The following is a 15,498-nucleotide window of genomic DNA, read 5'->3' on the forward strand; positions in this document are numbered from 1 at the left end:
GTTTATTTGGGGGGTCAGAATTTGACTTGCTTCTGTATTATTTCACTTTTCAAAAGAATCCGCCAGGAAAGATTAAAATTCATGGTCTTCAAATGAGAAATCAAGTCTTACTTTATTCAAAAGAAAATGTTGGAAGCCCATTTAGAAATGATTTAATATTGAAGTTCCTATAGTGTTAGTTATAAATTCAACCTTGACATTTCTCAAAATTATACAAAGAAGTGGTAGAGTAGAGCTGGGAGTTCATTGGGGCTTGTAGATTTTGCAGGAATTTTTTTTTTTAATGTGTTAAAACAAATTTTATTTACAATAACAGGCAGCAGCGGGATTTGGCCTGGGGATGGAGCAAAGTGACCCCCTGCTGTAGAGCAAGGTGAGTGAGTCACGCCCTTGACAACACATTCTTAGAAGTCATGCTCGTTAGGGGCAAGTTCTGTTTCTTCCACCAACGTCTTCAAGCCTCAGAATCCTTTTCTATCAAACGGGGCTAATAATAGAATACACCATACCTCAGAATTAAGTGAGGCTGTGCAAAAGGTGCTTAATTCTGTGCCTGAAATGTAGCAACAGACAATAAATCCATCTAACAACAAATTCTTATGAAGAAGGTATTACAATAAATTCTTATGAAGAAGTTATTACAATAAATTCAGTGACAAGCAATGATGGCAATGGAAATAAAAATGGAGAAGCAGATGTAATTAAGAGATTTGAGAAGTAAAATTGGCAGTTCCTGGTGACTAAAGCATGTGTTAATGATAGTGATAGTGATATCCTTGGACCATTAGTTGTTCAGCTTTGAATACCCTCCCCAATTTCTCTGCTTATTCTTTTTTTTTTTTTTTTTAGTATTTATTGATCATTCTTGGGTGTTTCTCGGAGAGGGGGATGTGGCAGGGTCATAGGATAATAGTGGAGAGAAGATCAGCAGATAAACACGTGAACAAAGGTCTCTGGTTTTCCTAGGCAGAGGTCCCTGCGGCCTTCCGCAGTGTTTGTGTCCCTGGGTACTTGAGATTAGGGAGTGGTGATGACTTAACGAGCATGCTGCCTTCAAGCATCTGTTTAACAAAGCACATCTTGCAGCGCCCTTAATCCACTTAACCCTGAGTTGACACAGCACATGTTGCAGAGAGAACGGGGTTGGGGGTAAGGTTATAGATTAACAGCATCCCAAGGCGGAAGAATTTTTCTTAGTACAGAACAATATGGAGTCTCCTATTTCTACTTCTTTCTACACAGACACGGTAACAATCTGATCTCTCTCTCTTTTCCCCACATTTCCCCCTTTTCTATTCGACAAAACCGCCATTGTCATCATGGCCCGTTCTCGATGGTCGCTGGATGTTTTATTTTCCAGAGAACCAAACCTTAGCACTGTGCACGCCACACCTGAGGGCGGATTATCCCAGGCCAGCCCAAGTCAGGGCAGGGCTGGAAACTAGGGGCTTGTTGCCCAGCGAACCGCCACAACAGAGAGCGGACTCGATCCTGCGCTCCGGCCGGGCTGACCTGCCTGCGTCCAGCCCCCGCGCCCTGGGCCTGCCTGGGTCTGGATCTGTGTCCGAGTCTGGGTCTGGATCTGGGTCCGAGTCTGGGTCTGGCCCTGCGCTCAGGGCCCGCGGAGGAGACTATGGACCCCGCCGGGCGCGCCCGGGGCCAAGGGGCCACGGCAGGGGGGCTGCTGCTCCGGGCTGCTGCGGCCGCCAAGGGTCTCAGGGAAGACCTGTGGGGCGCGGCCGCCCTGCCTTGGAGGAGCCTGTCCCGGATCCCGAAGCGGGAGGGTCTTGGAGAGGAGGACACAGCAGTTGCCGGACACGAGCTCCGTGAGTCCCGGGACGAGGTCTCAGAAAATCAGGCTGCGGGGCGGGCTGGGTCGAAGGGACTTGAGAAGGTACCCAGAGCAGCACCTCCGGACGCTGCAGGAGGGAAACTGGCGAGGCGACTCAGCCCTGGGACCCCGAGTCCCAGCCTGCACCGCTGCACTCCCTGTTGGCTGGTTTTCAGCTTTGGAATCCACCCCCACCATGTACTGTGGGTGGAAGGACAGTATTATTCTTCCGAATTAAGGAGGAGGCTTTTAAAAATAATGATTAAGTCCTTTTGCAAATAAGAGTTTCATGTGCTCTTATCTCCTATATCGTGACTCATGCTCCGATTTATTGTCTGACTTTAAATAAGTCAGTCACTTAATCTTTCTGCACTTAAGTTTTTAAAGCATGGAGTGGATCATCTATGCCTTGGGAATAATGTGTAGCATAAACTGAGGCAGCTGTTAAGCAGTTCGAAAGCTGAAAGCGATTTAAGTCTGCCCCCGCCCCCCCCCGCCCTCCGCCCCGCCCCCGCCCTCCGCCCCGCGTGTAGGGTCTTGTTGCTCTGTTGCACAGGCTGGAAGGCAGTAGTGCAATCACAGACCTCCTCAGGCTCAGGTGATCCTCCCACCTCAGCCTTCCCAGTACTCAAGCCTCTTAACGGGGCACACCATCCAAGCCTACTGGCTGGGACGGCCTTATTTCCTAAACCAGGCTTGGAAGCTATACACCAATTCATCAATATAGTGTTCATTCAGTCATTCTAGAACTATTTTCAAGGGCTTAACTATTTGCTAGGCATGTTCTAGATGTAGGGTTGGAGAGAACAAGACAACCCCTGTTCTGGTGGAACATTCTGTTGTGGTGGAGGGGTGATAGACAATAAAATAAGTACGCAAATAAATGAATAAGATAATTTAAGGTAAGTGCAGTGAAGGCCATGAGACAGGGTAATGTGGTTGGAGTCAGGCTGCCTGGGACAATTCTATAACTTACAAAGCATGAGCAAGTGGTATAACTTTTGAAGATCTCAGTTTCCTCATCTGTAAAATGGAGGAATCATGCCTACATCAACAGATTATTTGTTTTATATAAACCCTAGGGCATTCTAATAGTTGGAGATCAAGCAAAGGAAAAAGAGCCAGTAGAAAAGACTAGAAAGCGAAAGTTGGTTTACCAGACCTCTAGAGAAGAACATGTTACATGGAGTGTGTGTTCCTCTGTGTCAAAGTTGCCAAGAGCTCAATGCACATGACGGAGGTATGATGACTGGGTTTTGGCAAGGCGGAGTGACCTCAACAAGAGCAGTTTCAGTAGAGGGGTGGGAAAGATGTCTGATTAGCATGGGTTGAGACAAGACTGTGAGATGAAGAAATGGAGACAGCAATTATAGAATACTTAAGTTTGGGGTAATGGAAAGTTGAAAAATGCAGCAGCAGTTGGAAAGGAAGCTGGGGTCAAGGGAGGGTTTTTTATGCATAGGGTATTATGGCATCTCAGTATTTTTTGAGGGGAGTGATCCACTGGAGAGAGATTAAGTGATCTAGAGGAAAGAAGAGATAATTTCCAGGAGATTGACATATGAAACACTTGAAAAGATAAAAGGGGATGGGATCCAGAGCCCAAGTGTAGAGGTTGGCCTTTCCTAGGTACAGGGATGCTTCATCCTGCATATATAAATGAAGGTAGGTTGGTAGACTCACCTAGGTGGGAAGATGTGGGAATTCGTGTCCTATTACTTCTGTTTTCACTATGAGGCAACGGTATTAACTGAGAATTAGGTGATGGTAGTGGGAGGAAGTAAATTACGTAGATTAGTAAATTCAGATATTTGAGGAGAAAGGAAAGGATATGACATGTTGAAGAAGGGAAGACTAGGGAAATGTAGAGGCTAGCTAGTCGTGCTGAGATTAGTGGGGAAGAATTTAAGAGACCTGTTAGCATGTGTATCAGTCAGGACAAAGTAAGCTTTTCCTGCAGCAATAAATGACTCCTACATCTGAGTGACTGGACTTAAAAACGATCTATTTCTGACTGGGTGTGGTGGCTCACACCTATAATCCCAGCATTTTGGGAGGCCAGGTGAGAGGATCACTTGAGACCAGGAATTCAAGACCAGCCTGGACCACGTAACGAGACCCTGTCTTTACATTTAAAAGAAAGATATATTTCTTGTTCGTGTAGCATGTCCAAAATAAGTTGGCGAGGGTCTCTCATCTTCTTAGTCTCTCAGGAACCCAGGTGTCAAGGATCATAAAGGGGTTGAGATTTTACCCTACTTGTAATCTCACAAGTTAGCTTGCTAGGTGATAGAGATGCTGGCAGAAGACACTTCTGGATCAGAGTTGATGAATTTCATTACTCATAGCAGTAGCAGTAGCCAGAGTGTTAGCATTTGTGTCAGTTCTCCAAGCCCCAATTCCCACAGGGAGATATAAAGATGCCAAATGACACCTGCACACACAGTGGGTTGTGTTACAGAAAAATCCTGCGCTTAGGGAACCCAAATCTTTTGTAATAGTCAGTAAGCATGCCTTACCATTGCTTTCTTCCAAGGCTGCAAGCAAACCTGCCCTTTGCTCCAGAGGAAGATATTATCTCTGTCTGTCAAGGCTTTTCACTATACAAACATCCTTGAAAAGGTAGTAAAGAGCAAAGCCAGTCAGTGCTTTTGCTTGTAAGATGTGCAGAAATGTGAGAGACCCAGGGAGAATTGTGTCCCAATACCAAGTTGATGGAGGTACCACCATCTTGTAACCCCTTCATTTAAACACATGGCTTCCAGTGTTGATAAGGCAGGGAAAAGAGACCTAGAGGGTGACACAGGCTTTTCACTGACTCAGCCCCAAAGTGACATGCCATCACTTGTGCTTTCAGTCCATTGGATACACCTCAACTATCCAGGCTGGGTTATGGGCTTACACATGTGACCAGGTAGAAGAGAAGAAGCAGATATTGATGAACACTAGCAATGTCTACTACAGTATGGCTGTGTGTTTTTCTCCAGTACCATTTAGCTGTTCAGGTACAGAAACAAAGCAAGTAGCAGTTGGATTTAATCTCAGAATTAGGATTCTGACCAACTAGTCTAATGGAGGAAAAGAATGGTGAGGGAGGTAAGTGTTTGCATAGAAGTGATTTCATAGGTGGACCATGTGCTATGGTCTGAATGTGCAAAATAAATTTCTGTTTTTTTAAAATTACTTAGTGTCAGGTATTTTGTTATGGCAGCAAAAACAGACTGGCACCATGGAATCTAAACATGGTAAGGAGGGAAGTAAGGACATAGAGATGAAGAATATGAAAAAGGGCTAGAACTGTGGACTGGAGGACTTCATAAGGTTGCAGAATTTCTGGACTTGGAGAACTAGAGCAGCTGAGCTGAATGGATGAGAAGTTGTGGTCAAAGAATAGGATTCTGGAAGTCAAGATTTCAGAGGTAGTGCAGTTTGAGGGATGATTAGTTCAGGAATGTGTCTCTGAAATTTGATGGCTAAGGTCAGATCTGGGGAAGATTATTAGAGGTGACAGAGTCAGGGAACTAAGAGGCCAAGGTGTTGGATTAATCATCTGTGAGGAGGTTGAAGTCACCTAGAATGGTGACAAGAGTAGGGGTAGGAACGAAGAGAAGGATCCAGGTAATAGAAAGAATGAACATGTGAATCTGCATGAGTCTACTCAGGCTGCCACGACAAAGTACAGCAGACTGGATGGCTCAAACCACAGACAATTATTTTCTCACAGTTCTGGAGGCTACAAGTCCAACATCAAGATGTTGGAAAAGTTCAATTCTTCTTAGGCCTCTCTCCTTGGCTTATAGATGGCCACCTTCTCCCTGCCTTCACCTGGTCTTCCCTGTGTGTGTGTGTGTGTGTGTGTGTGTGTGTGTGTCCTAATCTCTCTTCTTATAGGGACACCAATCATTATCAGATTGGAGCCCATTTATATGACCTCATTTTACCTTAATTACCTCTTTAAAGGCCCTATCTCCAAATATAGTCAACATTCTGAGGTACTTGGGGTTAGGACTTCAACATAGGAATTTTGGAGGGACACAATTCAGCCCATAACAATATTTCCCAAGAAGATACTCCTTGGTTGGTCCTTGATTGGACTTGGCAGTATCCTGAAAGGTCTTTGCTTCGGCAAAAACTTGGGGAACATTGAATGTTATGATGGTACCATTTAAAAAACAAGGAAACCCTTAGGAAACTAATCCACAACACATCTACAGAAACCTCTCTTACGGTCCTTTCTGTTTGGAGATGGTATGTTATTGACTCCTACTTAACCTCAATTCTGGTCTTACCCCTTATGTTGGGCTGTCCTCTGAGAGCCCTCTACTCCCCTACATAACAAAAAACTCAATAAACCCTGGAATCTTCTCTGTGATAGTTAATAAAGCCTACCATATGAATGTGTATATGTGTGTGAAATGTGATGTTTATAGTAGATGTCAATCTACTTCTATGTGTTTTTATATAAATGAGAATAAAACATTTTAATCCCCTTTAACTTTGTGTCTGTATGTATGATGGGCTGCATTTTGAAATCTTCATGCAGGCCTGGCCTCGGTATAGAGTTCTGAAGACAACAGTTTTATCTCTGTAAGCTGTAGGAGCATTTGGACTCCTCCCTGCCTAATCTTGTACAAGGTTTTTTACAAACAATGCCCCCTGGGAAGTCTATGGCCGCCTTCTGACCTTCTAAGCCAGATACCAGGTTACTGACTTCAGGGTGGTCCTCATGAATAATGTTTTGTTTGGGGCCAGGAACATTTTTAAGGATGTGAAAGCGCTTGCAGCATGAGGAGAAAATGAAATCTTGATACTACAGTTTTGTAAGATATTGAAGCGAAGTTCCCATGTCTTAAATAAAACAGCAAAATGTGAAAGACTCAAAGCTGTTGTTACAAGGTTTGCCCTATGAAATATGCTTTCTCTTTGGCCTCCTTAAATTCCCTCAGTCATGCTTGCTTTGCTTTCTTTCAGTACTCCCAAATGAGAGAAGCTTTCAGAATGCTGCTAAAAGCAATAATTTGGATCTTATGGAGAAGCTGTTTGAAAAGAAGGTTAACATTAATGTTGTGAACAATGTGAGTAGAAGTCATAAATATGACAAGTGACTTCTCCAGTAATGGCTTGGATTTACACAGGACATCTGAAATAATAATAAAAATAAAAATCATGGTGCTGGCTGAGATAAGGGAGAGCTGCTTTGTTGGTAATCCCGGGGTGTTTAAGCTAAAAGGTGGAGTCAAACAGTGGAAGAGGCTCTGGGTGTTTTAATTCCTCTTCCAAGAAGGGGAGTGCACAGAATCTTCATGCCTATCTGTTCAAAGTCTGTGGGTGGGCAGTAAAGCCAGCTGTCAGGGTTGCAGGCCCGGACTTGGTCCTGGATTGTCGCCTGTGGATCAGTTTGGCCTCACACATTCTGGAAAGGCAGAACATTTTTTTGCTATACAATCTGGGTTGTTTTCTTGCCAATGATGTCCTTTGTGGTTCTGTTTTTCCAAATTTAAAAATCTAAAGAGGCGTGTGGATTTTCATTATACTGGTTTTGAAATGTAGTGCGTCTCCCTCTTGGGCAATGAGGCCTTATCTAAAACCTGGCTCTTACTTGTTCTTTAAGTGCCGGGTTTTAGCGGAGGGAAAGTCCACTGCCATAAATTTGGATTCTTTACTGCTTGCTTTTGTGAGGATTTCCTGATAGTCCTTTGAGGCCAGGTTTATCAAAGTGAAGGTTGGAGGCTGTGTCAATTGCTTAGGACAATTTGTGGAGTGGTTCAAGGTGGGTGTGGCAGAGGTGGATTTAATGGTATACGAAGCATAAGCTTCAGGGCCCTTGCTTGTACAGGCCCCTTGTAAGGCACTGAGAGGGCTCTAGTAATATGTTCCTATGACTATATGATTTTGTAAAATCTGAAAAAATGTAAGGCATTTTAACTGCAATTATTTAAGCTTTCTGACTCTGGCTTTAAGGAAGACTCCCTAAATAGTCTAAACTCAGGTTTCACAAAACCTGTGTCTGTCGCAGGCAGTAAGGTCCTAGAAACTGAAGCTGCAGAATCTGAAATCATGTCCCACGTGCAGTGGAAGAATGTTGTGCATGTGGCGGCAGTAGGGGGGTGGTGTGGCTTTGTGCTTATGTGTGGGGATGAGTGTGGGGATTGGTATGTCTGTGTATAATGTGTGTGTGTGATGTGTTATGGGTGTATATATAGTGCTCATGTTCCATAGATATCCTAGAATAGGAAAGCAGCAACATTTTGTAGCGTAACAATTTTAGGGACAAAAAGAAAAAAAAAGAAAGGAATCAAGAAAGGAAGGAAAGGCAGAAAGGAGAAAGGATGGAAAAGAGGAAAAAGAAAAGAAATAAGCAAGTCTCTTTGAAGGGAATATTTGTATAGTTTCAAAAATATTTGTGGATAGATATCTTTGAAGATTATTATGACCGTGGAAGGTTAACTGTGGGAGTAAGTGAAGCAATAATCACTTTTCCAAGTAGCAGGAAATAGATTCTCTAGTATACTATTCAAAACATTTAACATTTTTCCATATACAACTTTCTGTTATTTTAAACTTTTTCTTAATATTAAAGTACTTGGGAGAGATACTACAATCTGATATACTTTAACTTGCAGTGTGGCAAGTTATTATAAACTCCTAATGAATTGTATTATACTTTCTAATGACATCTGTTTACTGTTTACAGCAAATTGTTGACATGGTTACTTGTAGAGTTCCTTAAAACCAGTGATGATGGAGATTTTAAAAATATAAGTAATTTTATTGAATTATCTTGGGTGCAATTTTGGCTTACATCCTTATTCACAAGTAAAATTAATAGTGGAGCTTATAAGCCCATATTTGACATAGTAGAGCAAAGCTCCAGATTTCAGACAAAGTCATAATAACTGATGGGTTTTTTTGTTTTGTTTTGTTTTGTTTTGAGATGGAGTCTTGTGCTGTCACCGAGGCTGGAGTGCAGTGGTGCAATCTCAGCTCACTGCAACCTCCACCTCCTGGGTTCAAGCAATTCTCCTGCCTCAGCCTCCCTAGTAGCTGGGATTACAGACGCACGCCACCACACCCGGCTAATTTTTGTATTTTTAGTAGTTACAGGGTTTCACCATGTTGGCCAGGCTGGTCTCAAACTCCTGACCTCAGGTGATCCACCCGCCTTGGCCTCCCAAAGTGCTGGGACTACAGGCATGAGCCACCATGCCCAGCCATAACTCATGTTTTGTTGAACTTATTTTATCACTGGTTTAGCTATTGTGAAAGTTTTCAGAATCAAAATGGAGTCACCGATATTAAGAAAACCTTGACAAATAGAGCTGGGGAAGGCCATGAATACAGGGTTCTCATGCTTGTATACCTGATAACAAAAACTACCACAAAAGACTGCAAAACCCACAACCTTGCACAAACGCCATCACAACCTTACACAGAAAATATTCTGCAAGGACATCTGTGCAGCAACTGCCTAAGACTGGCGTCAGCTTGTTGTTGAACTTTGTAGCAAAGGATAATTATTTCAAAACAATTATATAATCCTCATTTTTTCCTTTAAAAACCTTTGTCTTCTTTTACTTCCCTAAATACACACATAGTTTTACTATGACATGCATATTCCCGTTGCAATGCTTTATTCCCAAATAAATATATTTTCTTTTGAGAGTATCTCTTATTATTTAGGTTGATGCTACCAAGAAAATCAAATATTTAAATGGTTCTCATTTTTTTATTATTTATGTATAACAAAGAATAGTAAAGCCATGCCCAGACATCTTATTTGGGAGCAAAAGCAGTGTCTAGAATATGGGGAATATGACACATATCACTTCCGAGCATAACTTCCATTATCTGAAATGTATTAGACTGTCTCTGGGTATCCCAGGAGCATCATGTTGACTTTCCTTTGGAGCAAGATAGTCATAGCTTTCTTTCTCTGCCTTCTGTCTTTCTTTCCTTCCTCCTTTCTTCACTCCTTTTATCCCTTCCTCCCTTCCTTCTTCCTTTCAGAAGGAATTTATTTGCTTCAGTAAAATTTACAGTCCAAAAACTTAGAGAAGAACGAACACGAGTGGATTGAATATCTAGGAAAATTTCCGCTATGCATTATTAGTATATTCTAAGCAGAAAAATTTACCATTATTAATGATTGCATAAGGGGGGAATCCAACTTTTACTTTCTAAACAAAACCCATTATATTGCTACAACATAATGCTACAATACAGTACAATATAAGCTGAAACAAGAATTTCATCTTGCGGCGTGTCCTTCAGTGGACTGCCAAATTCTCTGATGTTATCTCATAATGAAGGCAGAATTCGGCTGGACACAATTCTCATAACTTTCAAAGGTAAAGGCAAAGAGTGGAGCCAAACAATCAAAATAGAAACACTTGATAGAAAAGTGTGGCCATTCAAGAAACAGGAAACCTAAAATCACTGAATAATGATCAGATGACTAAAAACATAAATTATGCTTCCTCAGATGAACCGCACAGCCCTGCATTTTGCAGTGGGGAGAAATCATTTATCTGCAGTGGATTTCTTGCTTAAACACAAGGCCAGGGTGGATGTTGCTGATAAGGTAAGCTCATCTTGAGTAGAACAAGTTGGAGCATAACCAATGTACAGGGAGAATCTGATCATTCCAGTTAGACATCTTTTCTTCACATACACACAAAATATTTTAATTGGCAGTGTTCGTTTTGGAAAGGTCTCTTCATAGAGAATATACATATATGTGCTCTTTGAATTTGGGGACTAAATTGTTTCCCCTTTACCTATGGGACCTGGGTTTTTGCTTATTTTCTCATATTGACTTTATGGCCAATAGCATGCATTTGTAAAAGCAAGATCATTGTCCAGAGTATAATCTGGAATGTGGAAGACAGAAGCTAACTGGCCCCAGAGACATCAAATATTGACTTTGCTCTATGAACTCTGATAATAAATAGGTGTATTAAACAGCTCAGGGGTAAGCCCAGGAGCACACACACAACTTTATGCCATCACTTTCTCAGGCTCCATCGTCTCCATGATCAGCTCCCCTACATTTTCTAGCTCCTCACCCTCTTTTCCTGGTCCTCTGTCTGGAAAGCCAAGGCTGTGGTCTCCCCGCTCTGCTGTGTACTTCCCACAAATAGGTCTGCCTCCAGGACCAAGTAGGGGAGGGTAACAAGAGAACATTTGGATTCTCCCTCCACGCTGCTTTATGACCGCAGTTCCTCTGGTCAGAGAGAAAGATTCCCCTATGTCAGAGTTTAGGGTGCTTGCCCAGCCACTGCTGCTACCCCTACCACTGTCAAGTTGTAGCTTTGGGAGTGGGGCTTGGCTTGGGGGAGGGGGCAGGGCCAGTAGAGAAAAATGAAGCAGAGAATTTCCCCTACCTTCTCTGTTCTATAGGAGCTCCCTTCTCCTCTTTAGACCAGAATGAGAGAGCTTCTCTTGGAAATCTTTCTGACTGTGCCCAGGGCACAGTTCCATGATTTGCACTGCCTTGAGTCCAAGTTGGAAGGTATGGAAGGAAAAGAAAAATCAGGAAAGTCACTGCAGGATTGTCCTTACTTTGAGTTCTGATTTTTTCCCCAATCCACCTGATACCATTTACAGAGTCCTCAGCTGTTCCATGCATTCTTTTTTTTTTTAATTTTAATTTAAAATTTGTGTGGGTATATAGTAAGTGTACGTTCCATGCATTCTTTCCAGAGATTTTATTTGTTTTGGTGGCAGAGACAGAGTGGACTGTGCTTACTTCGTTTTAACAAAAACCATAACCCCAAATCTCTAACATACCAAAGTAGCGGGAATCATACAGCAAACACCTATGTATCCATTGCCCATATTAGATTGCATCTTTTCTTTTAAACAGAATATCTGAGGATTGCCATGTTTCTAATATGTTAAATACAGGACTGGTTTGTGTCAGAGTGCAAATCAATTATTCCTGAAATGATGGAGAGATATTTCACCAACTTGTTCTCCTTGAGGTTTTTCTAAACATCTATTTGTATTACCTTGTCTCTGAAGCATGACTATTTCTCTTAACTTTGCCTGAAGATTGAAATAATGTCAGGTGGGAAATATAGTAATTCCTGGTGTGTCTCTTTTTCCTGCTTTGAAGGTTTCACTAAGTTAAATATATTTATAACTAATTAAATCATCTACAGTGGCATTACTCTGTAACTAGTAAAATGTTTTTCATAATTCAACCAAGGTCATGTTTGACCCAATCTGGCAGCTTCTTTATCTGAATGGTGAGCCTTGAGTTTGACTTCTTCTAAGTTCTAACACCATTTGCAAAGAGCCAACAGTTGATCCCCTTCACCATCAATATTTATTCAGTGGCTGTTGTGCATATGTCTCAGTGTCAACTACTGAGGATTCAATTAGACAGAAGTCATTGCTATTTAAAGTGTAGTCCCAGGACTTGAAGCATGCACATCACCTGCAAGCTTGTTAGAAATGCAGGATCTCAGGCCCCACCCCAGGCCTTAATCAGAATCTGCATTTTTAAAAAATTCCTAGGTGATTGTTTTTGGGAAGCACTGGTATGAAATAGAGTCATGGCTTTGCAGGGCCTACAGTCTATCTGGGGAGCAAGGACAGAGACTGTACCAGCTGAGTACCATTCAAGGCACTGCATGCTAGGGACCAAAGTGAGCAGCAACCCCGAGTCCTGGGAAGAGGCAGACTGGATAAATGGAGGCTCTTACTCCAGACAGGTGTAAAGAATCCCAGGTGGGTGCAAGTGGTGCTCAGAGGATAAAAACATCTGCTGACAAAGCTTCTTACCTCTGGGAAGCTCCTAACATGGAAGTGTTCCCCAGAGGAAATTATTGGCCTCACCTATGACGAGACTGGCAATGAGGACAGGTTATCAGTGACTATTGAGCAATGTACACTTTACAGAGCTTCGTGAGCCAACTGTGAGTGTAATTTGTGACACATGGTCTTAAGTAGTCTCAGGCATGCCAGTTTTATATCAGAAGAATTTCTTTTATGGAGGTTCTTCTCGGGGAGTTTACACCTGTGAGCGGTGATTCATTGCCTCTGAGGAACAATGGCTCCACTCTGAGTTTGTGGTTTTAGAGACTCAAGTTGATTGCAGCTTGAATTCCCAGCTTTTAGATTTTATGATCGGAGCTTCGAATTTTAAAATGTAGGCTGCTTTGAAATTAGGAATTACCTTTTAGGGAAAAATAGATCTCCTATCAAAGAGTGATTTGTCACCTGTCTCAAATATTTCTGGTGGTTTTTTTTTCTTTTTGAGGTGGAGTTTCACTCTTGTTGCTCAGGCTAGAGTACAACGGCGCAATCTTGGCTTGCCGCAACCTCCTCTTCCCAGGTTCAAGCGATCCTTCCAAGTAGCTGGGATTACAGGCATGCGCCACCATGCCTGGCTAATTTTGTATTTTTAGTAGAGATAGGGTTTCTCCATGTTGGTCAGGTTGGTCTCGAACTCCTGACCACAGGTGATCCGCCCACCTTGGCCTCCCAAAGTGCTGGGATTACAGGCAGGAGCCACCGTGCCTGGCCTTCTGGTCTCTATTTGAAAGCAGATTTAGTATTACTAAATATAGAGCGCTGACTTGTAGGGAACTCCAAATTAAGAGGTGGAATTGTGTTTAGGGAACATGTTTTGAAGAACCTCAAGTAGTCAGTCATTGTTCATCATTTCTCTTTGGAACAAAGAGTCCAGAAATGAAGAGTCTTCTTCATGCTGGAATTGTAAACCTACAAATGGACTAACTCACCGTCTAGAGTGATAGCTGAAATATAAATTTGATAGGATATGCACATTAAGAGTGGGGTTTCTCAACAGTGGTGCTATTGACATTTTGGGCCTGATAATTCTTTGTCGTTGGGGCTGCCCTGTGTATTGTAGGATGTTTAGCAGTGTCCCTGGCCTCTATCCACTAGGTGCCAATATTAACCTCCCCCCACCCACGGCATGACAGTAAAAAATATCTCCATACATTTTTCCAAATGTTTCCTGGGGGCAAAATCACCCCCAGTTGAGAATCACCAGTTTAGAGTTATGCCTCAATAATTTGGGACTTGCTGTTTTACTCTCCCAACATGAATTCTACTGAGAATAAGAGAATACATTAATGCAACTTGGGGGCAGCCAAAATAAATGCCAAAAGGCTTATGTACTTTACAAATAGAAGTGTACTGCAGGCCCTCATTCCTTAGTCATTTACTCATACTGTGTACATCTAACAAACAGTTTCCAGATCACAAACACAACTGATTAGAAAAGGCAAATAAAATGTAGTGTGAGAGCTTCCTTTGGGTAGGCACTTGTACTGAGGAAATGGATTACTTTTTCATGGAGCTAAAGGAAACAGAAAAACAGACACTTGAGTTTGCAGATAAGGAAGCTGAAGCTGAGAGTTAGAACTAAGTTCACCAAGATCCCCGTACTTGAAAGTGATAGAAAGTGACCAGAATTTGAGATTAGTTCTGCTTGATCCTGAAGATCAGGCTCATAGTGTCTGCCCTATCCTGCTTCTGTAACTTAGGGCCCGGGGTGCAGATGCATTTTTTTGCTTATTTCCCTCGAATCTCACCTCCCTAAAATAACCAGTGTTAACTGCTGGCTATGCTTCCTTCCACACTTTTCTCCTTATTTGGTAGACAAGTCAGCATACAACTGCCCACAGCATCCCTACAGGTCACTAAGTCCTGGTCTCTTTCAGTCTCACAACTTTATGCACATGTGTTTGCACACAGACAAATCTAAATAATTTTGTGTAAATAAAATATTTTAAGTAGCATCTATATAAATGAGATCCTCTTTATAACTTGTGTTTTTTTCACCTGTGTGTACCCTCTCCTCCTCTGGTAACCATACTTAACAATCTGAGATATGTGTGTTTATTTCTGTACTTTTCTCCTGCTCACATAGTCATATCTATATTGATCAATCGACCTACCTACCCACCAACCCACCTATAGATAGATATAGATATATACATATACATGTATGGGGTTTTGTTAATCACTCCTTTTTAACAAATGGGATTATATCATATTTATTGTCTATCTTATTTTCCATATTTAGCAAAGCTCATGGAAATGTTTCCAAGTCAATTGTTGTAGCACCAATTCATTATTTTTAATGCTTGCATTATATAGTCTGACTATTCCATAACTTATTTAGCATTCCTATGTTGATAGGCTTTTATCTTGCACTCAGTTTTTAGTGTTACAATTACTATCCTTATATATATAGAATTAGGTACTGACATTTTTATTTTCATGGGATAGATTCCCAGGAGTGGGATTGCTGGTTGTATTTTTAATTCTGATAGATATTGCCAGATACTTAAACAATAATCATTTCCATTTCCTTTCTTTGTCCATTTTTCTGAGTTTGTCTTTTTCTCCTCCATATGTAAGTGTGCTTCATGCATTAGAGAATAACCATTTATCTTTATTAAAGATACATTTTTAAAAATCTGTCATTTTTAATTGACTTTATTATCTATCTGTTCTAACTCTGGATTAAGAGACTATACATTATAGTCTGGATTTTATTCTAATATATTTATTGTTTGTGTGCTATTTTGTGAGTATGGTATGATATAGCTTTTCATTTTATTTTCTTCCAGATGGAGAACCACTTGCCTGTACCACTTATTAAGTATAACCATTTTTCCCCATAG

At 41.6% G+C, this 15,498-nt stretch overlaps 1 protein-coding gene across 7 annotated transcripts in view, besides 3 other annotated features; it reads left to right on the plus strand.

Annotated features, from left to right (window-relative positions):
* Window positions 138-945: an enhancer, noted in NCBI's record as "OCT4-NANOG-H3K27ac-H3K4me1 hESC enhancer chr5:74905964-74906771 (GRCh37/hg19 assembly coordinates)". NCBI's record gives its function as "activates a minimal SCP1, AML or CMV promoter by ChIP-STARR-seq in primed H9 embryonic stem cells {active_cell/tissue: H9 hESC(primed)}" and the evidence as "EXISTENCE:reporter gene assay evidence [ECO:0000049][PMID:30033119]".
* Window positions 946-1,752: an enhancer, noted in NCBI's record as "OCT4-NANOG-H3K27ac-H3K4me1 hESC enhancer chr5:74906772-74907578 (GRCh37/hg19 assembly coordinates)". NCBI's record gives its function as "activates a minimal SCP1, AML or CMV promoter by ChIP-STARR-seq in primed H9 embryonic stem cells {active_cell/tissue: H9 hESC(primed)}" and the evidence as "EXISTENCE:reporter gene assay evidence [ECO:0000049][PMID:30033119]".
* The window catches only part of ANKDD1B (ankyrin repeat and death domain containing 1B), a 60,394-nt gene continuing 46,347 nt past the window's right edge, over window positions 1,452-15,498 (plus strand). For 5 of the 7 annotated variants that reach the window (XM_017009814.2, XM_017009815.2, XM_017009816.2 and 2 more), the window contains exons 1-3: window positions 1,452-1,826; window positions 6,803-6,906; window positions 10,314-10,412. In XM_017009814.2, coding sequence (XP_016865303.1) covers window positions 1,634-1,826; window positions 6,803-6,906; window positions 10,314-10,412 — 396 coding nt within the window. In that variant the 5' untranslated portion in view covers window positions 1,452-1,633. The remainder of the gene's footprint in view (window positions 1,827-6,802; window positions 6,907-10,313; window positions 10,413-15,498) is intronic. The other 2 variants (XM_047417686.1, XM_011543623.3) reach the window with 1 other exon arrangement.
* Window positions 1,753-2,559: an enhancer, noted in NCBI's record as "H3K27ac-H3K4me1 hESC enhancer chr5:74907579-74908385 (GRCh37/hg19 assembly coordinates)". NCBI's record gives its function as "activates a minimal SCP1, AML or CMV promoter by ChIP-STARR-seq in naive H9 embryonic stem cells {active_cell/tissue: H9 hESC(naive)}" and the evidence as "EXISTENCE:reporter gene assay evidence [ECO:0000049][PMID:30033119]".

This window comes from Homo sapiens, chromosome 5, assembly GCF_000001405.40.
Source record: "Homo sapiens chromosome 5, GRCh38.p14 Primary Assembly".
NCBI classification, from domain to species: domain Eukaryota; kingdom Metazoa; phylum Chordata; class Mammalia; order Primates; family Hominidae; genus Homo; species Homo sapiens.